Below are 21,831 nucleotides of genomic sequence, written 5' to 3' on the forward strand. Positions count from 1 at the left end.
AATTTTTGTATTTTTTATAGAGATGGGGTTTTGTCATGTTGACCAGGCTGGTCTGGAACTCCTGGGCTCAAGCAATCCGCCTGCCTCAGCCTCCCAAAGTGCTGGGATTACAGGTGTGAGCCACTGTGCCCAGCCTGTGATGTTTCTTACTATTGTTTTTGAGATTTGTCTAACAGGTATTTCCAGTTCATTCATTTTAACAACTGGCACAGTATTCCATTGTATATGCATGCCACAATTTATGTATCTATTCTAGTGATAGATGTAGTTTCCAATTTTCTTTTTTTTTTTTCTTTTTCTTTTTTTTTTGCTCTTACAATGTGTCGGTGAACATTCTTGCATGTTTTCATGTGTAGCCACATCGATTAGTGAGTCATGGAGAATACATTATTCAACTAGAGTGAATATTTCCAAATTACTCTCTGAAATACCCACTGGGTATGCCTCCAATTTTTTTTTTTTTTTTTTTTTTTTTGCAAACACACTGTTAAAACTAATTTTTAGAGAAGCCTACTTTTCACCACTTTAAAAATTTTAAAAATAAGCTTCCTGTTTTACAAAACCCAACAACCCTCACATGCAACCATTCAATAATTGTAATAAGCACACATATTTTAGATTTGATTTAAACTAGGTTAATACAATCAATGGTATGAAAATATGATCGGTGGAAAAACTTTTGATTGGCTGGTAACTGGATGAAGTGAAAACCAGCTAAACAATGGTTTCACCAAAGGTACCGTCTCTCTTTGATACACCTGTGAGCAGACCTGATGAAGTATCAGGTAAGTAAGTTTTCAGCTGGAGTAAAGGATAGCTTGATCATTTCAAAATACAAATGGATGGCCCTAAGATCAGGGTTTAGGGAAAAGCCATAGATGTTGATTCAGGGTACTCTTGAGTTATTATTGGCCAGACTTGGGAGCATTATCCAATAACCAATTCCCTAGTCTTAAAGAAGAGAAGGCAAAGAACAAGATGAGAGATGGCTTAACCCACTGATATTTGGCTTCAGTTCATGGCATGCTAATGTTTTCTTCAGCACAGAATACGACACAAGGAAGAGACATACTTGGATGCAAGACGTGCAAATTCCTGCCGAGCCTATTTTTCACAGCATTACTTCATTTTTTTTTTTTTTTTTTTTTTTTTGAGACGGAGTCTTGCTCTGTCGCCCAGGCTGGAGTGCAGTGGCGCGATCTCGGCTCACTGCTAGCTCCGCCTCCCGGGTTCACGCCATTCTCCTGCCTCAGCCTCCCGAGTAGCTGGGACTACAGGCGCCCGCCACTGCGCCCGGCTAATTTTTTTTGTATTTTTAGTAGAGACGGGGTTTCACCATGGTCTCGATCTCCTGACCTCGTGATCCGCCCGCCTCGGCCTTCCAAAGTGCCAGGATTACAGGCGTGAGCCACCGCACCCGGCATACTTCATTATTTTATAGAACGTGTGAATTACTGTAACACTATCCTTGGTTGTATTAAAGAGGTATATAGGAAACAAAAAAAGTTTGTTATTAAGGAATAGCATGTACCACTCACTGCTCCTTTTACATTACTTTAGGAATATAACTATCTGTAGTTTTTTCCTTAACTCGGTAAGACACTGAAGGTACTCAAGAAATTTAACTTTCTTTTCCCTTTTAAGTTCTGAGGAACAGAAAAATTATGAAATCAATCCCAAACATTTTAGAGCAAACTGATATTTACTTTTAGTATGAATTCTTTGCAATAAAAAAAAAAAACAGTTATAATCCCATCACAAGCTTTCAGGTTTGGCGTGCAGTGACTTCTGCCTGATTTAGATATGCCCAGTACAAAAATGGCCAACTTTGCTGGGCAGACTAAGCAATAATCCTTTCTGTACAATAAGGGTTTTTCAGTCCCTGATTCTGCAGATCCTGGTGCTTCCTGAGGACCTTATGTTTTTTGTTTCACTGAGTCGCTTTTCCTGCATAGTTCTAGTATCCAATTTGAGGGCGGGAGGAAGGGAAAGAAATGGAATAGGTGACATCAACCCTATGTTATTACTGAACATAAAGGCCTTGGAGCCTCTCTACCCTGTCAATCCCAATTTTGACTGAATCCTTCCTCCTATAGTCTACATCCAGGCCAAGATCCTCAAATCTGAATCTATTATCTGTTGCCAAATCACTATTCCACTTGTTCCACGGCCATTGGACTAGATTTCAGGGTTTACAGCTACAGAATAGAATTCAAACATTTTCAGGATCATTATTTCATTTTGCCATTGGACTAGATTTCAGGGTTTACAGCTACAGAATAGAATTCAAACATTTTCGGGATCATTATTTCATTTGATTTTCATAACAAAAAAAGTGTTTGGGAAAAGTATTATCTCCATTTTGTAAATTAAAAAACGGAAGTTTACGCAAGTCAAAGAACTGCTCAAAGTCACAATGATAATAAACACAGCTCAGGCAAGGGTGAAAACCAGGTCTTTGGGCTCCAGATTCAATGCATTTCACAAATGTCACTCTGTCTTTCTAAATGAGTTCTTAGCATTTTAAGGTGGAACTCTAAAAGTGTATTTCCACAGAAAACCTCTGACTTGTTATTAGGTGTTAAAGAATCACAGATAGTATATCTCCATTATGGTATTATGACATTTGGGGATTGCCTTGGGAACCCTTTTTTTTTTTTAGACGGAGTTTCGCTCTTGTTGCTCAAGCTGGAGTGCAGTGGCGCGATCTTGGCTCACTGCAACCTCCGCCTTCCGGGTTTAAGCAATTCTCCTGTCTCAGCCTCCCAAGTAGCTGGGATTACAGGCACACGCCACCACCCCAGGCTAATTTTTTATATTTTTAGTAGAAACGGGGTTTCACCATGTTAGCCAGGCTGGTCTCGAACTCCTGACCTCAGCTGACCCACCTGCCTCGGCCTCCCAAAGTGTTGGGATTACAGGTGTGAGCCACCGCGCCCGGCCACGTTGAGAACCTATTAACCTAGGAAGGTCAGACTCTGATTTTTCCATAAAAACATAATCTTAAATAGTGAGTAAATAAATATATTTTCTTACACAACTAGTTTGATAAGAAACAAAAAACGCAAAGGATGAGTCAAGGTTTCATGTTGATGTTTACCAGTTAAAGCAGAACATACACTAAAATAGTTAACTTTAACTGTTTTATTCACTTAAAATTTTTGTGACCCAAATATACAAAGTAATTTAAAGCACAACAGATCAAAGTTTCACTCAACATTTCTAATACCAGAGGTGAACAAGTTATTCTTATTTCACATTTATTCTTACACACAAAATTGTCTTTTTTCCCCCTATTCTTTTTTCATCCCTGCAAGAAGCATACATTTTAAGGATTGATGTTTATGTGTTTGCAGGTCTTGATTTAAACTCAGGACCAAATAATAATCCATTAAAAAAAATTTACTAAGTTAACCGGTTTGTTCACTCAGATACTACAGCAGGAAATAAAATGTTCCCTCAATAGAGCTATCTGTTGGCCAATGGCCAGTCTCTGGCAAGACTAAAACATGCTGTGTTTATAAATAATATTTATTATAGAGTTATTAAAAAAACTAAAGCCTTTCCTTATAATGATAATAATGTTTGTCAGGCATTATTTTTTAAAATCTCTGTGTTCTGAATATATAATTAAAAGGATAGGAACAAATAGTGACTTTTTTAATTAGAAAAATATTTGCTGTGAAAAAGCAATTGTTCTTTGGGTTTCACTGTAAATATTTTGTTAATTGAAAAAATCTAATATACATAAGGAAAACAAATAACATTTACTAGAATAAATAAAAATTATAGATGGACTAGAAAGTCATCATTTAAACTAAAAAAGTTTCATCTCTTTATTTTAACAAACTTATTCAAATTATCCCAGTGAAATTATTTTCATTAATTTGAAATTCCATCTTAGGTTCATACACACATAGAATATCAGAGTTAAAAGGAAACATGGAAATCTGCCTTGCTATCATTTCATAGTTGAAAAAAAACCAAGTGATTTGCTCAATATCACCCAATTAATTAGTAGTGGTGATCTAGAAAGACAGATATCAGATGGGTCAATAAAAAGGAATCTGGTTGAGTGTGGTGGCTCACTTGAGCCCAGGAGTTTGAGACCAGCCTGGGCAACATGGTGAAACCCTAGCTCTACCAACAAAAATTAAAAAATTAGCCAATAAATTAGCCATATCTACCAACAAAAATATAAAAATTAGGGTGTGGTGGCAGGTGGCTGTAGTCCCAGCTACTCAGGAGGCTGAGGTAGAAGGATGGCTTGAACCCAGGAAGCAGAGGTTGCAGTGAGCCAAGATCACACCAATGTACTCCAACCTGGGCGACAGAGCCAGACCCTGTCAAAAAAAAAAAAAAAAAAAAAAAAAGAAAAGAAGAGAAAAGGAAGAGGAAAAGGAAAAGGAAAGGAAAAAGACCCAAACAAATAAAAAGGAATCCTCGTCATTCATATATGTGCTTTCCATTTCTATTTTACAAGTATTGCTTTTTGGGTAATAGATGTATTACATCTTGATTAGAGAAAATCTGGAAAATATTTAAAAATATGCAGAAGAAAATTAAATATAAAACATCCATAATCTCATCATTCAGAAAAGCTGTTAAAATTATGATGCAGTTTCTTCTACTCTTTCAATTTCCTTGTATTTGAAAACAGTACAATTGTACAATTTTACAAAATTTAGATTATATATATAACATTTTGTATCCTTTTTTCCATCTGACATTATACCATATTTTATCTTATTAAAATATGTAATAAAAACATCTTAATAATTGTACAAAATTCCTTAAATTGTTTTTGCATACTTTTTGTAACCATCACTACTATCACTAGACATTTAGGTTTGAACAACCATGCACATAAATCTGTGTAATTCTAATTATTTCCTTAGAAGAAGAATCTAGACATGAGATTACCTGGTCAAAAGGTATACATATTTTGATGGCTTTTTATACAGATGGCCCAACTGCCATCCAGAATGATGTCATAATTTATACTTTTACCAGTGGAGCAGTGTATAATGCCTGCTTCATTGCATACCTCAGCAACAACAGATGTTGGTTTTTGTAATTTTTGCTAATGTTACAGGCAAGATGGTTCTTTAATTCTACATTTTTTCATTACTACCACTGAACCTTTTTCGCATATTATCATCTATATTTCCTCCTCTATGAATAATGTGTTTATATCATTTGTCCACTTTTAAAAATATTTTATTGAAGTAGAATATACATAAAGTACACATATCTTAAGTGCAAAGCTCAATGATATTTTTCATAAACTGAATACACCCATGTAACAGCCCCCAGATCAAAAGACAGAACATTATCAGCACCCCAGAAGCTACTCTTGTATTTCCTTATAAGCACTAATTCTCCTACGAGTAAGCACTATTCTGATTTGTTATACCATAAATTAATTTTTCCAGTTCTAGTCCTTTTGCTCATTTTTATAGTAATAATTTGTTTTAAAAAGTTATCATTATATTATTATAAAACATTTAAACATTACAGAAAAGAACCAAAACAATCAACAAGTCATTCTGAAACCATTCCATCTAAAGTAACTGTTAACCATGGTGAACGTGACATTTCTGTAACCACTGACAGATACACAGAGAAACAGACAAATTATCCCTTAGAATGGGACTATAATCTTACTTTGAAGAAAAAGAAATGGAATTAAAACCAAAAAATAAAAAACCCTCCAAAACATCAGATAGATGTTCTTTGAGTATATACAAATCATTAAGAGGTTTGCATTTCATTAAAAACAAAAACAAAAGCGGTTTCAATTTTGCATATTACGGAGTGTTTTCCTACCTACATCGAAAAAATAATTACCATGCATCCTGTCATCTTTCCCCACCTTCTAGTTTTGGTTTCTTATTTTTATCATTTATACTCAATCACATGATCACAATTTTTATAGCTACTGATTCTATTACTTTGAATCACCCTTTCCTTGGTTTCAACAATCAGCAGTATCCCCACTCTTTTTTCTTTAAAGTAGAATCCATAGTAATTTTCATGTTTCAGCATATCTATGTACAGCCTTAATAGTAAGAAGAAAACACAGTTTTCTTGGGTCACACTTCATTTCCTTTATAAAGCTGCACTAATGATGTACGTGTAATGAAAATGATAACAGGAAATATTTAGTTATTAGTACATATCAGGTACTGTCATAAACATTTCATGTTTGTTAATCATTTAATACCAACAACAATCCTATGAGGTAGGTAGCATGATCATTTTACAGATGAAAATAATGGAGGCACTGGGAGGTAAACTGGCTTGCCCGAAGTCTCTAATTTGTAAAGCGCAGAACTCTGACTTGAACACAGGTGGTCTGAATCAAGAGCCTGTGGTTTTCACTGCTACATAATGCTTTGACGTTTACAACTAGAACACAACCGGAGGGAGGGACAGTAAAAGATGCCACTAGCTTTAAGGAGTGAAGGCCAGGAATGCTAGATGTTCGTAGTAATGAATAGGGCAGATCCTGACGATACAGACTGTACCATGTCCCTCACAAAAGCTCTGTTTCCTACTATGAGAAAATGAAACTATTAACATTCAACTGTCTCATTAGACACGTTAAACACGTTGGACAACGTGCTTAAAATTACTCAATCCTAGAACATTTCATATAAAATACGAAGTTTTTTTTTTCTTTGGCAAGATTTTAACAGGCTCAATTTTCCAGGGATGCAAGTACTTTGGTGCAGAAAAACTGTTCAGTGTTTGGAAAATTATGTCACTGATGGAAATACCACAACCCGTAGCATTTGCGTTGCCGAATAACACACCTATATCAATCTGCACATATAGTTCTCACATTCATGAGTTCTATATACGAGTGCCAGCATCATTTAACTACTTCTAGTGTAGTCATGGTCAAACAGTTACATATCATTGAAAATATTAGTTTATTATATATTACTTTTATTTTTTCTATTCAACTAGGACAACATGTTGACTTTAAAATTATAGATGTACTCTATCATCTATGAACTTCATTTCAGGATCCAAAAAAGCTCCTAGACTTGTTGAGATCTCACAGCATTATATGGGAGTTGTAATTCTTGAGGGGTTTTCTTTATTTTCCTCTGATGTCTTCTGTCCACTTCTTTCCAAATTCAGACACATAATGAGGAAGCTTAAACTCTGGTTGATTCATCTTCTTTTCTCAGTACTGTTCTGAGGGCTGGATGTGCTATTAGGAGCCATGACATTCTGCAGTAGAATATTCAGTTTATTTCTACACGTTCCATTTTTCAGAGTTCTAGCATTTTCTTTGTTTAAAGTTCTATTCCTGTCCATATTTTATTGTTGCTGGTGAACTTCTGGTTGTCATTCTTTTTAGCGCTACTTGTTTGATCATTTTGTTAGCTTTTGGGGAGTGAGTGTTGTGGTCCTGCTTCACTCAGCCGTGTCAACTGGCGGTCATTTTTTGCCCAACTTTAGATGGAGTGCTTTTCTTTCCTTTGAAGAGACCATCTCAATAAATACTTTCCTTAGTATAAAAGGGTGAGTCTGTCAATTACTTTGTGATGAATGAAAATTTACTACAAGCTTTTCTAATCTCAACTGCTTTCTTCTTATTATTAATAAAGTAGAAGAGTCTACACTCAGAGTCCATTATCACATATCGTATCACTTTGGAGAATATTCGTTAATATTTACTGAGTAATGACAATGTGTCAGTCACTGTTCTAAGAGCTTTGCATATATTATTTCATTAATCTCATAACAATCCTATGCGGTAGATAGTATTCTCTTAGGAAAATGAGGTGTAAAAGTACCAATTTGCCCACAGTCACATAGCTATTAAGTGGCAAAGCAGGGGTTTGCACCCTGGACATCTGATATCAGGGCCCAAGTTATTATTTATTCACTACCTTACTGCCAACCAAGGTTTTAGGGACCTCCTGTTCCATTCAAGGAACTAACTGCTTCACTATTGATTTTTTGATTAACACTTTTTCTTTAGAGACTACCACAAATGCTCAATAAATATTTATTACCTGAATAAATAAAAGACTTAACTGCTTATTTTCAATGCTTCTCCCTCATATCTTTTAATGTGTCTTTTCCTTTTAGAAACAAGGGCAAATTAAAATCACAAATACCATTCTTACTCATTTCTGGGTGGTTAAGAGATAATCTCATTCTATGCTTAAGGAGAACATTGTAGCTTAAAACTTTTCACCTGTACTTTCTGAGCGAGGTGACCAATGTTGAACAGAAATGCAGATAGCTTTTTTTAGTATTTCATTGCATAGCCCTGATAGCATATTTGCTTTAAAGGAGGAATTTTTTCCATAATAACACACAAGAATTAAACACTTCTTTTCTCCCACTTTTGGCAGAAGCAGCTCTATGCTCCCAGGCAGCTCAGATGATCAGTTATATGCCATGTAGTACCCTGCCAGCCCTGAGAACCAGATCTATTGAAGCTACCTATGCCCATCAAAGCTTACTATTCTGTCTCTTAGTCTGTCAGATTTCTGACAACAAATTAACAGGAGGTCAAGCATATCAACAGATTATACATCTTAGGCGCAGCGTGCTTGATTTACAGTGAAAAGTTAGTGGATATAATATGCTAACACAATAAACAGTTGTTGCAGCTTCAAATACCATGATATGTTGACGGTTTTTGCATTATTTTGTGACAGGTAGGTTCTAGCCTCACTTCACATCACATTCTATAAATAACATTAAAGAATAATTTTAAAGACACCAACACATGTAAATAAATGTACAAAAATAAGACAGAAAAAAAAATCTTGAACTTTTAAATAAAAACAGTCATGAATTTTTAATAGTCTATGAAAAAATAGTGTGGTAGGAATAAAACGATTACGGAAATGAAAGTCTGTTAATGTAGACAACTTTTTGTGGCACAGTTCAGGTATATGTACTGCGTCAATGTGGTGAAGAACCTTTGTATGTTACAGATATATAACAATACCAGAGAAAAACATACAGATGATAATTAAGTGTGGACAACAAGGGAAAAAAATTGAGAAGATAATGGTTTGAGTAAATTATTTAAAAAATTAAAAGGTCTTAGCTAAATTGGGCTTGTTCTTAGAGAAGAATCTGTTCAAAACTAAGAATCCACTTCAAGTATTTACATTTTAATAAAAAAGATACAATGGCAACATAAGAAAACCGAGCTGGTGGATTTTAAAAATAACTTACACTGATGACTGAAGAGGAAGTTGACAAGTGTAAACCTTCAAGATCAGCCATCAAACTTGGAGAAAGAGCTGGTGTGGGAAGTGCAACTGGAGTGGATACTGGGTTAACTGTAAGAAAAGGCCCAAATTAGTAAATGTGCATGAACGTTTAATTCAAATTATTAAAAGCAACATTTTTATTTTGTTAGTAAATCTAATTAAATTACTTTGATTAATAAATGTATGACAATTCTATTTAACATCTTGATTTAGTCAACTTATTATCAAGTCATGGCAGTTATTAGTCTTAGCTTTCAAAACATAATGGCAAATCCTATAACAAAATAAGGATATAAATATCTTGAGTAATAGTTTGTGAAAATTTTTATCACATAACATTATCACTAACATTTATCACCCAGTAATCTCCCTAAAAAAGTAAAGAAACATTTTTTTTCCAGACTATCATAAGAATAACAACCGCTTCCAAGAGAATGCTGCAGTGGAATTAGAAGTCTTGAAAGATGTTCAAATCCTATATCTATTTTATTCTCCACTCTAATCAGGCTACCTAATTCCCTTGTAATTATACTTTTTCAGCAAAAGCTATGTGCTAGATAGAAATGTTTGACTGATTCTAAAACTGCTATATACTTGAGAACTGATACCTGTAAGTTTGGAAATCTTCTAAAAATGCAAGTCTGGTCATGTTACTCCCCTGCTTAAGACTCTTCAAAGGCTCATAACTGCCTACAAGATAAAAGCCCAACTCCTCAATTAAGTTCACAAAGTCCTCTATGGTCTGCCCCAGCCCAAACAGCCCTTCCTATGCTAATGGAAATGTTCTACATTTGATAAAGTGGACACTAGCCACATATGCCTAACATACTCTTGATATGTGGCTAGTATGACTAAATAAATGCATTTTAAACTTTGCATAATTTAAGTAATTACATGTGGCTTGTGGCCGCCATACTGGACTATTCAGGTCCAGCTTATCTCCAATTTCAGCATTGTTATGCACTAGCTCTATGGGATAATAGTTCCCAAGATCTTGTTCTACGTCTTGGAGCCTTTTATATTCTACTCTGTTTGCCTACTTCTCTGCCTTGCTCATCTTGCAACTTCGATCTGGCAAGCTACCCTTTAAAAGGAAAACACTCTCTGGCTCACCTGCAAACAGCTTATATGTGCCTTCTTTGTTCCACAGATATACTTGAACAAACTTCTATAACTGTACTTCTCATGTAATACAAATTTGTGTCTTTACATGTTTGCATTTCTGCTAGTCTGTGTGAACAGACAATAACATTAATTTTTGGTGTTTCTAAACCATTTGAATAAAATACATTACAATGTGGTCAAGTTTTAGCTTCCAACAAATTCTCATTCCAAGATAATACCCTAAAGGGAATAACATTTAGTTAATTTGACATTTCTTTTTTTATTTTTATTTTTGGAGATAGGGTCTTGCTCTGTTGCCCAGGCTGGAGTAAAGCGGTGCAATCCCTTCCTGGGCCCAAGCAATCTCAGCCTCCTGAGTAAGTGCATGCCACCATACCCAGCCTTTTTTTTTTATTTTTTATTTTATTTTTTTTTAGAGATGGGATCTCCCCATGTTGTCCAGGCTGGTCGCTAACTCCTAGGCTCAGGCAATCTTCCTACCTTGGCCTCCCAAACTGCTGGGATTACAGGCGTGTGCCACAACACCCAGCTGTGACATTACTTTTCAAAGCATCTTTTTCTCATTTCAGTCTCACAATATCCAGTGAACAAGGCAGAACAAATATTAATCCGTAAAGTTAACAACAAATATTTATTCTGAAAGGTAGCAAGTGAGAGACAAAAAAGTTCAAGATCCTCAAGTAACAAAACCTAATTAAGAAAAAGAGATACATGTATTTGACAAAAAAAAAAAAAAAAAAGTAACAATACAGTCCATAAATGATACGGCCAAAGAAGAAAAATTTCAAAGGAAACACTAAACAAAATCTCAACATATATAATAGAGAAAGCAGCCTGGAGGTTGGATGGGGAGGGAGTGGAGCTCTTGGTCTTCCCTACGCTCACTTAGTACGGCTGAAGCACAGCTTCAAACCCCCAGGCTTCCTTAGACCCACACTGAAAACCCCGGTACAGTTTAGCAAGTGTCACAGAGTCAGGGGCAAAACAAGGATCACTGGAGAAGGAGTGGAAGAGGAGGCTTCATGAACAGGAGGGAATGAAGTCCAATTTTTAAGTAAGAGTGAGATTTGAATAAGAGGAAAGAAAGAAGCCAGTTAATTGTTGGATAACAGAATGCTATAAACAAAGGCTGAGAGGTAGGAAATTGAAAAACTAAGGGGACTGGATTTATCCTATAGACCAAGGGGAACAGTCAAAAATCGATCAAACAGAGGAATGACAATGAATATGGTCCTGCAGGATGGTTAATCAGATGGCAGTACAATGCACAGACTGAAGGCAGGGTTGGGAGTAGGGAAGAATTTACAATAGTTTAGGAATGAAGTGAAAAAGACTAAAGTAAGCCAATGGCAATGAGAAGGCTTAAAAAGAGCATTTAATATTGAAGACACTGGAAACTGAGCCACAGGGAGATTAATATTGACAAGGTCATAAAAAGTGAATGGTAGAACCACTATAGAATTAGAAACTGCTTCTTCTAACTTGGATCATAATATGTTGCCTTCCCATGCAACACGTAACTTTTCAGGTAAGTTCTAAATGCATGTTTATTCATTCCTTTGTACATCTATCTACCCACCCGTCCACCATCTGTCCTTTCAAAATATTAGAATGCCCATGTAACGAATAAAAAACTGAATAAGAAACAGCCTCTGATTTCAACTGTGGCTTGGCTAAATACCATCAAGAGACAAGAGAAGAAACTTCACACCACAAGCAAGTTCTGCTGTTTTTTAAAAAAGGATGGGTTTTAATATAATTTCAGAAGATGTGTGCTCTGGTATTAAAGAGATGATTATGCATCTGTTTGCAGGTATGGCAAGATGAAAGTTGGCATTGAAAGCTTACCCTAAAGTGAATTCTGAGGCTAGGTGACTGTGCTGAAGTATTTAATTAGTAATGTGTAAAAACAAAGTGACTCTATGGGGTTTTTAAAAAAAATGTCATAGTATACAAGTTAAAATGAAATATCATGCCCACCTGGCAAATTAGAAAAGGTAATTTTAAAATACAAAATCTAGCATTGGTGAAGGTACAAGGAATATAGCACCCTCATATTAATACTGTGTAAGCTGGTACAAGCTTTCTGAAAGGCAATTTTATTTACTTATTTTTGAGGAGTTTCTCTGTCACTCAGGCTGGAGTGGAGTGGCATAATCACAGCTCAGTGCAGCCTTGAATTTCTGGACTCAAGCAATCCTCCCGCCTCAGCCTCCTGAGTAGCTAGTATTACAGGTGTATGCCACCATGCCCCGCTAATTTTTCTATCTTTTTGTAGAGACAGGAGTCTCACTTTGTTGTCCAGGCTGGTCTCGAACTCCCAACTTCAAGCAGTCCTCCTGTCTCAGCCTCCCAAGTAGCTGGGATTACAGGCATGAGCCACCATGCCAAGCCTAAAAGGCAATTTTGGACAAACAAATTCTTCAAAGTCTTTGTTCCAGCAATACTACTTCTGGAAATTTATCTTAAGGAAACAGTTACAGAGATATTGAAAAATATATTTACAATGATGAATGTTACTTCACTAATTATGATAGCAAAAAATGGAAAACAGCTAAATTCCCAACAACAGTAAATCTGTTAAACAGAATTTGTTCTAACAGGATAAAGGACAACCATACAGTTATAAAGAACGTAGGTTTTGTTTTGTTTTTGGAAATAGGGTCTTGCTCTGTCACTCAGGCTGGAGTGCAATGGCACAATTGCAGCTCACTACAGCCTTGACCTCCTGGGGCTTAAGCAATCCTCCCGCCTTGGCCTCCAAAGTGCTAGATTATAGACATGAGCCACCACACCAACTAAGAACATGTACTTTAAACAGAGGAGAAAGCAAGTGATAAAACAGTTTCTCAGTAGAATCCAATTTGGAAGGGGGGATTTGCATATGAAGAGAATCTAAACTGATATGTCAGAATGTTAACCTGGGGTGTTTGGATTACAGGTTAATTTTATTTTCTTCTTTTTATTTTAAAAACTTTCTATAAAACTTTTTTCTTTTCTAAAAGTAGATCTAATACAGTAATTATTCAATTATTCTTCTGATCAAAGCTTTGCCTTAAGATTTAAGAATAAGAAAAACTGAATACATAATGGCTTAATATGTTGTTATTTAATTTGTAATTTGCTGCATCATCTGCATCATTGGCATCATCAGCACCAGCATCATCACTAAACCCAGTAATGCCTATCATGTGTTAGGCACAGTTCTAAATGCTTTTACGTATATCAAGTCATTTCATCCTTTGAGAATTAAATGACTCCCAAAAGTATTTGTACCATCCCAATTTTATAGACAAAGCAGCTAAAGCATGGAGAGATTAAGTAAATTGCCCAAGATGTCACAACTAGTGAGTAACAGAGCTGGGATTGAAACTCAGACAGCTTGCTCCACTGTCCTCTTAGTGACTCCACTCTACTGCCTTGACCAAAATTCACTCAACAATGTGATATCACATATCATAAGGCTTATTTGAAGTATGATTATTGTTGGCTGACAGAGATTTTTTAAATATTTCACTGTCAGTTGTACTAACAATGTAATGACATAGGTTTACATTTCCTATAAAAGAACACTAGAATATGATCACTGATTTGTGATCGTCCTACTGAGAGCACATGGTATGGGGTCCTAAAATATATTGTTTAATTTCCAGGAATATAAAATATGCCTGAAACATAGAAAGCATATTGATATCTCTAAGTCTAACAAAAGACTGTTAGGTCATATATTATCCTAGAACAAATGTTTTCTTATGTATTGTTAACTGACCCCCATGAAAAAGAGTCATATAACTTAATGATCTAAAGAAACTGTGGAAGTTTTATAGTCTTTAAAAAAATTACAAATGAATAAAATGAGACACAAAGAAACCACTAAACCGATTAAAAGCATAGGACTAATACCTGTGCTCATGATAACATTCCCTCAACAGATATAATAGAGAAATAGTAAGAGAAATAACCAAATTGTTTTGTAGTAGAGTCAGTCTATTGCTAGGGTTGCTGCCTTAGAGACAGACAATCATTATTTCTGGTAGTAGCAAGCTCTTTCCCTCCTCCATAACTTTATTCTGCCTAGTATACCCTCCCCTCATGCCTCTAACAGCTTGACTGACTCTTTTTTTCTTTCTTTTTTCTTTTTTTGTAGTGGAATATCACTCTGTCACCCAGGCTGGAGTGCAGTGGTGTGATCTTGGCTCACTGGAACCTCCGCCTCCCAGGTTTAAGCAATTCTCCTGCTGCAGCCTCCCGAGTAACTGGGATTACAGGTGTGCACCACCACGCCTGGCTAATTTTTCTATTTTTAGTAGAGACAGGGTTTCACCATGTTGGCCAGGCTGGTATCAATCTCTTGGCCTCAGGTGATCTGCCCGCCTCGGCCTCCCAAAGTGCTGGTATTACAAGTGTGAGCCACCAGGCCTGGCCAACTGATGCTTTCTTAAACTCAACTCAAAAGTTAAATTTTGATACCGCTAGGTGGATTAGGAACCTTGATACTGAACAGTATTTTGTGCATTTCTCCTCATTTCATCTATAATGCGGCAATCTAATTGCCAGTTTATCTGTTTTTCCCATTACACTTTGAGAGTTCCTTGGGTAGGGACAATATTTTATTCATTTAGAATCTCCAGTATGTAGCAGATTACAAAGATCACAGCAAGTATTAAATTAACATTTCCTGAATGAAGAAATGAAGAAATTCAGTACTTGCAGTCTTCCTGGTATGCACTGTGTACCTAGCAAACAACCTGTGTGGATTATGATGTGCCTCTTAGATAAACCACAGGGAATGTGTCTGGCCTTCTTTCAAGATTAATCTAATTCTCACAGTTGAGAACTAAAGCCACTGGAGAGTAACATTTTAGTATCTGAGCAACAAACTGCATGCCATGGGCAATGGAGAACCATTGCAGGCTAATAGGAGGCATACAGTGAAGTTGGCACTCTGCTTGTCTTTATCTCTAAGCTCAGATCATGGTTCCTTCACAAGGTTTTTGTAGTTTTTTAATTTGGGGTTAATGAAAACCCTGAAGAGGGGTTTTCATCTCCCTCTCTGTTTCTTCACTATACTTTGCATCTCTATTTTCTCTCGTATGCAATAGTTATTTGTCCTGTTATCTGTGTCTCTGACTAGATTTTAGTTTTTGGAAGGGAATGACTAAATTCTATTTATCTATTACAGCACCTACTAAAGTACCTTGCACTTAGCAGACAATCCAGAAAACACAGGCTGAACTGACTTGTTAACAAGAGAGTTTCAAGTGTCGTTTCTGACAAAAGCAGGACTATGAAAGATTTTTAAAGAAATAGCACTTGGGTATTAAAAACAAAGAGAAACACTATATCCTATATTGAGTTAAAAAATGTAGGTTGGGATCAAAGTTCCCTTAAAATTCAAAAAAACTTTCATTTCAATTCTTAAAAACTTGATTTTTTTAAAAAGCTTGTGTCCCTGTCCCTCTCCCTTTCCCTCTCCCTCTCCCCACGGTCTCCCTCTGATGCCGAGCTGAAGCTGGACTGTACTGCTGCCATCTCGGCTCACTGCAACCTCCCTGCCTGATTCTCCTGCCTCAGCCTGCCGAGTGCCTGCGATGGCAGGCGCGCGCCGCCATGCCTGGCTGGTTTTCGTATTTTTTTGGTGGAGACGGGGTTTCGCTGTGTTGGCCGGGCTGATCTCCAGCTCCTAACCGCGAGTGATCCGCCAGCCTTGGCCTCCAGAGGTGCCGGGATTGCAGACAGTGTCTGGTTCACTTAGTGCTCAATGGTGCCCAGGCTGGAGTGCAGTGGCATGATCTTGGCTCGCTACAACCTCCACCTCCCAGCCACCTGCCTTGGCCTCCCAAAGCGTCCAGAGTGCAGCCTCTGCCCGGCCGCCACCCCGTCTAGGAAGTGAGGAGCGTCTCTGCCTGGCCGCCCATCGTCTGGGATGTGAGGAGCCCCTCTGCCTGGCTGCCCAGTCTGGAAAGTGAGGAGCGTCTCTGCCCGGCCACCATCCCATCTAGGAAGTGAGGAGCGTCTCTGCCCGGCCGCCCATCGTCTGAGATGTGGGGAGCGCCTTTGCCCCGCCGCCCCATCTGGGATGTGAGGAGCGCCTCTGCCCGGCCGCGACTCCGTCTGGGAGGTGAGGAGCGTCTCTGCCCAGCCGCCCCATCTGAGAAGGGAGGAGACCCTCCACCCGGCAACTGCCCCGTCTGAGAAGTGAGGAGCCCCTCCGCCCGGCAGCCGCCCCGTCTGGGAAGTGAGGAGCGTCTCCGCCCGGCAGCCGCCCCGTCCGGGAGGGAGGGGGGGCTCAGCCCCCGCCAGGCCAGCCGCCCCGTCCGGGAGGGAGGTAGGGGGTCAGCCCCCCGCCCGGCCAGCCGCCCTGTCCGGGAGGTGAGGGGCGCCTCTGCCCAGCCGCCCCTACTGGGAAGTGAGGAGTCCCTCTGCCCGGCCAGCCGCCCTGTCCGGGAGGGAGGTGGGGGGGTCAGCCCCCCGCCCGGCCAGCCGCCCCGTCCGGGAGGGAGGTTGGGGGGTCAGCCCCCCGCCCGGCCAGCCGCCCCGTCCGGGAGGGAGGTAGGGGGTCAGCCCCCCACCCGGCCAGCCGCCCCGTCCGGGAGGTGAGGGGCGCCTCTGCCCAGCTGCCCCTACTGGGAAGTGAGGAGCCCCTCTGCCCGGCCAGCCACCCCGTCCGGGAGGGAGGTGGGGGGGTCAGCCCCCCGCCCGGCCAGCCACCCCGTCCGGGAGGGAGGTGGGGGGGTCAGCCCCCCGCCCGGCCAGCAGCCCCGTCCGGGAGGGAGGTGGGGGGGTCAGCCCCCTGCCCGGCCAGCCGCCCTGTCCGGGAGGGAGGTAGGGGGTCAGCCCCCCGCCCGGCCAGCCGCCTCGTCCGGGAGGTGAGGGGTGCCTCTGCCCGGCCGCCCCTACTGGGAAGTGAGGAGCCCCTCTGCCCGGCCAGCCGCCCCGTCCGGGAGGGAGGTGGGGGGGTCAGCCCCCCGCCCGGCCAGCCGCCCCGTCCGGGAGGGAGGTAGGGGGTCAGCCCCCCGCCCGGCCAGCCGCCCCGTCCGGGAGGGAGGTGGGGGGGTCAGCCCCCTGCCCGGCCAGCCGCCCCGTCCGGGAGGGAGGTGGGGGGGTCAGCCCCCCGCCCGGCCAGCCGCCTCGTCCAGGAGGTGAGGGGCGCCTCTGCCAGGCCGCCCCTACTGGGAAGTGAGGAGCCCCTCTGCCCGGCCACCACCCCGTCTGGGAGGTGTGCCCAACAGCTCATTGAGAACGGGCCATGATGACAATGGTGGTTTTGTGGAATAGAAAGCGGGGAAAGGTGGGGAAAAGATTGAGAAATCGGATGGTTGCGGTGTCTGTGTAGAAAGAGGTAGACATGGGAGACTTTTCATTTTGTTCTGTACTAAGAAAAATTCTTCTGCCTTGGGATCCTGTTGATCCTGTGACCTTACCCCCCAACCCTGTGCTCTCTGAAACATGTGCTGTGTCCACTCAGGGTTAAATGGATTAAGGGCGGTGCAAGATGTGCTTTGTTAAACAGATGCTTGAAGGCAGCATGCTCGTTAAGAGTCATCACCACTCCCTAATCTCAAGTACCCGGGGACACAAACACTGCGGAAGGCCGCAGGGTCCTCTGCCTAGGAAAACCAGAGACCTTTGTTCACTTGTTTATCTGCTGACCTTCCCTCCACTATTGTCCTATGACCCTGCCAAATCCCCCTCTGTGAGAAACACCCAAGAATGATCAATAAAAATAAAAATAAATAAATAAAAAATAAAAAAAAAAAGCTTGTATCTCAACATATAAAAATATACTTTTTTATAGAATGGAACTATAACAATTATGTCATTTTATAGGTTTTTCTTTTTTTACCGTAGTTGCCAGGAAATCCAGAGTTGAATATAAGAAGAAAAAGTTGTAATTAGTACACTCTAGTACCTTGTAACATTTACTCTTAGTTCCCTTTTAAATGTACTTTACTGTTATTCTTTTACAATTTTAAACTTTGTAAATTATGAAGGTTACAAACATACATATGTAAGATATTCAAATGTCACAGAAAGATACAAAATATAAAATGAAAGTCTTATTCTTGTCTGTTCCCAGGTTAGTCCTACATCACAAGGAGGCCAGAGCTAACCACTGAACAATGCTGCAATGAAATTTTTGTATATGCCCTTATATGTTTTATTAATTCAAGCAATATTTACTGGGTGCCCACTAACTGCCAGGAGCCACTCTGTACACTAGGAATAGCAGTGAGCAACACAGAGACCCTGTCCTCATGGAACTTACATCTTAGTTGGGAGAAAGAGACAATAATCAAGTACCAAAATTTTAAGGTAATTTCAGATAGTGAAAAATGCCATGAAGACAAGAATGACAAGAATAACAAGAATAACAAGAAGGTTTGTGCTATGGTCTGAACATTTATGTCCCTCCAAAATTCGTGTTGAAACCTAATCCAGACTATGGTGGGGCCTTTAGTAGGTAATTAGGTTATAGGGGTTCTACCCTCATGAATGGGATTATTGCCCTTATAAAAGTGGTATGAGGGATGGTGTTTCCTCCTTCTGTCACATGAGGAAACAGAAGTCACTATCTCTGAAGCAGAGCTAGCCCTCACCTATCATCAAATACGCTGGCACCTTGATCTTGGACTTCCCAGCCTCCAGAACTACGAACAACTAATTTCTGCTGTTTATAAATTACCCAGTCTAACGTATTCTGTTATGCCAGCTCAAAGGGACTAGGACAGTGTGTAAGAGTAGGTGACTTCTGAGTTGGGGAAGTAAGGATCAGTCAATTGTTCTCAGCAGGGGAACAGCAGTAGAAAGGCCCTTGGCAGAAATGAGCCTGGTATGTGTGACAAATGCATAAAAACAGAGTAGGATGAAATGTGGATAACAAGAAGACAGGGGTCAGATCATCTACAGTCTGAGAAACCTGGGAAAGGAGTATGGGCTTTCATCTAAATGCAAAATTAAGCCATTAAATTCAAGGGTTTAAAACAAGAAAGAAATAAGATCTGATTTTATCAGTAGTTTATCAGTAGGATAAATTTCTGGAAAAGAACTGCTAGGTCAGTGGGGCGTGGTGGCTCACACCTGTAATCCCAGCACGTTGGGAAGCCGAGGTGGGTGGATCACGAGGTCAGGAAATCAAGATCATCCTGGCTAACACAGTGAAACCCGCCTCTACTAAAAAAAAATACAAAAAATTAGCTGGGCGTGATGGTAGTCCCAGCTACTCAGGAGGCTGAGGCAGGAGAACTGCTCGAACCCAGAAGGTGGAGGTTGCAGTGAGCCGAGGTAGTGCCACTACACTCCAGCCTGGGCAACAAAGTGAGATTCCGTCTCGGGGGGCGGGGAAGAACTGCTAGGTGAAAGGGTATGTGCAATTTAAGTTTTGATAGATATTGCTAAAATGACTCCAAAGAGCTGTACCTATTTATATTCCTATCAAAAACATGTACTTCTGTTTCTCCAAATCTTAGCAACACTGGATGATACCAAACCTCAAAATCTTAGCCAATGTGTAAAACATGATTCAAATTTAACTCCAATTTTATTTTTAGTTTCTCTGTTATTTCTCTCTATTATATATTTTAATTTCTCTATATTAAGTATATGCCATGGCTACTGGGGACAGGGCAGGTAACAGTATAAACAGAACAGATCTATGACAGAATGAGATAACCTAAAACATAACTCACTCTCAGCATAGAAAAACTCTATCAAAAATGATAGTAGTTTAATATTCATGAAATCTCACTTCTTGTTACTCTTCTCCTAGTGCAACAAAGTACCACTATCTCTCTCTCACTATGCAGGAGGATTTAAGGGGAGGTGGTAAATACATATATCTTTGTACACTTGGGTGAATATATTTGTAGGATTCTGAATTCTTAGATTTGCTGGGACAAAGATTTTTTGCAGTTAAAAGACTGAGAGGTATAGCCAAACTGGCCTCCAAAGGCTTTGTAACCCATTTCCATTCCTACTGAAATTGTGCCAAGTGGAAGATGGTGATGTCCTTTCCATTTTTATTTACATTCCTTAATCCTCTACCTCCTTAAGTTACATGTGTCAATCCCCATAATCCACATTTCACAATGTAGAAGTTATAAGGTATGGATGACTATTTAGCAAACAAGTATAAATTACTAAAGCAAAAGATTTTAAAATGAATTTTGTGTACTTGTATTTGGCCATCTATATTTGTTCATGTGATAATGAAGTGATATGCTGAATAGATGAAAGAAACAAATACCACTGATTTCCAAAACTTTCTTGCCTTATTCATCTATAAGTCTTTCACAATAAATATTGATATATTTTGGGACATGTAAATGAAAGGTACTATAAAAATAAAAAATACTCTTACTAAACACAGAAGAAATATTTTAAATTACAATACTTACAATCATCCAGATCTAGAAGTGAAACATCTTTGGTAAGAGGAGTTCTATCTTGCTTTGTTTTCTTTTCTTTCTCCTATAAAATAACAAATATTTCATTTATCACACGTTCTGTTTTAAAAATCTGTGGAGTAGTCCTTAATATTCCAAAACAAACTTTTTTTTCCTCTGCTTAGTGGTACCAACAAATTAAACTTCTGTATGGTTATATAAAATGTTTTCCTGAATCAACATTTGTCTCAATTAGCATATAGTATTTCTTACCCACTATGCAAACTCTTAAACTATTTTGTGTTTAAAAATTATAAATGTCAGAACAAAATTTAAAGGTATGTAATTATTCTACAATCGGACAACTTCTTGCTAACATAAAAACGTAAAGTGGCTCTTTGGTAGAAAGTCCACAAATATTCTTGAAAATAACTTTTAAACAGGTTTACTTAAGAAAAAGAAATAACATATGCATAGCTCAGATATTTTTGATGGGCTTGTGATAGGTCAGCCTTTTCTGATATAGTTTGTGACAGGCATTGTACTAGATATTTTATGTTTCTATACTGGGTTGTATCAAACTTCTTTGCCAAAGATATTCATTAAAATCTATAAATGACATTCCCAGGCTCTTTCTTTTTAGAGTTGAAAGGACTCACTCACTTGATCTACTGTTTTGTTGAGAAAATAAATATTTCAAAAACATATCTGCATATAACTAGGGCTTCCCCCAGCAGAGATTTGCTTATTCGGTCTACTGTACTTACAAAATGTATATATCCATGAACTAGAATACAGTGCCCCTAAGCCTGAACTGTTCACAGTTTGGTTAGATATTCAGAAAAAATTTGTAAATCTTTTAAAAAGAAAACAGTATTAAGTGCATTACAAACAACTAAAGGCCAACAAAGAGTAGGGCGTTAAATATAATTGAGTCAAAGTTTATCTTTCTAATCTATACTATTTTTTACATTAAATTTTCTCAATCACAGACCAAAACTAAAGTTTCTACTAAAATGTTTTTGTTTATTTAATCATTCATTCATTCAATAGGTATGTATAGA

At 39.0% G+C, this 21,831-nt stretch overlaps 1 protein-coding gene across 3 annotated transcripts in view; it reads right to left on the bottom strand.

Annotated features, from left to right (window-relative positions):
* AP3B1 (adaptor related protein complex 3 subunit beta 1) overlaps positions 1 to 21,831 on the bottom strand; it is a 294,177-nt gene that overhangs the window by 79,652 nt on the left and 192,694 nt on the right. For 2 of the 3 annotated variants that reach the window (NM_001271769.2, NM_003664.5), the window contains exons 21-22: positions 20,780 to 20,852; positions 9,220 to 9,326 (exon numbers count right to left, since the gene is read on the bottom strand). In NM_001271769.2, coding sequence (NP_001258698.1) covers positions 9,220 to 9,326; positions 20,780 to 20,852 — 180 coding nt within the window. Of the gene's footprint in view, positions 1 to 3,129; positions 7,495 to 9,219; positions 9,327 to 20,779; positions 20,853 to 21,831 lie in introns of those variants that run through there. The other variant, NM_001410752.1, reaches the window with a different exon arrangement.

This window comes from Homo sapiens, chromosome 5 (assembly GCF_000001405.40).
Source record: "Homo sapiens chromosome 5, GRCh38.p14 Primary Assembly".
NCBI classification, from domain to species: domain Eukaryota; kingdom Metazoa; phylum Chordata; class Mammalia; order Primates; family Hominidae; genus Homo; species Homo sapiens.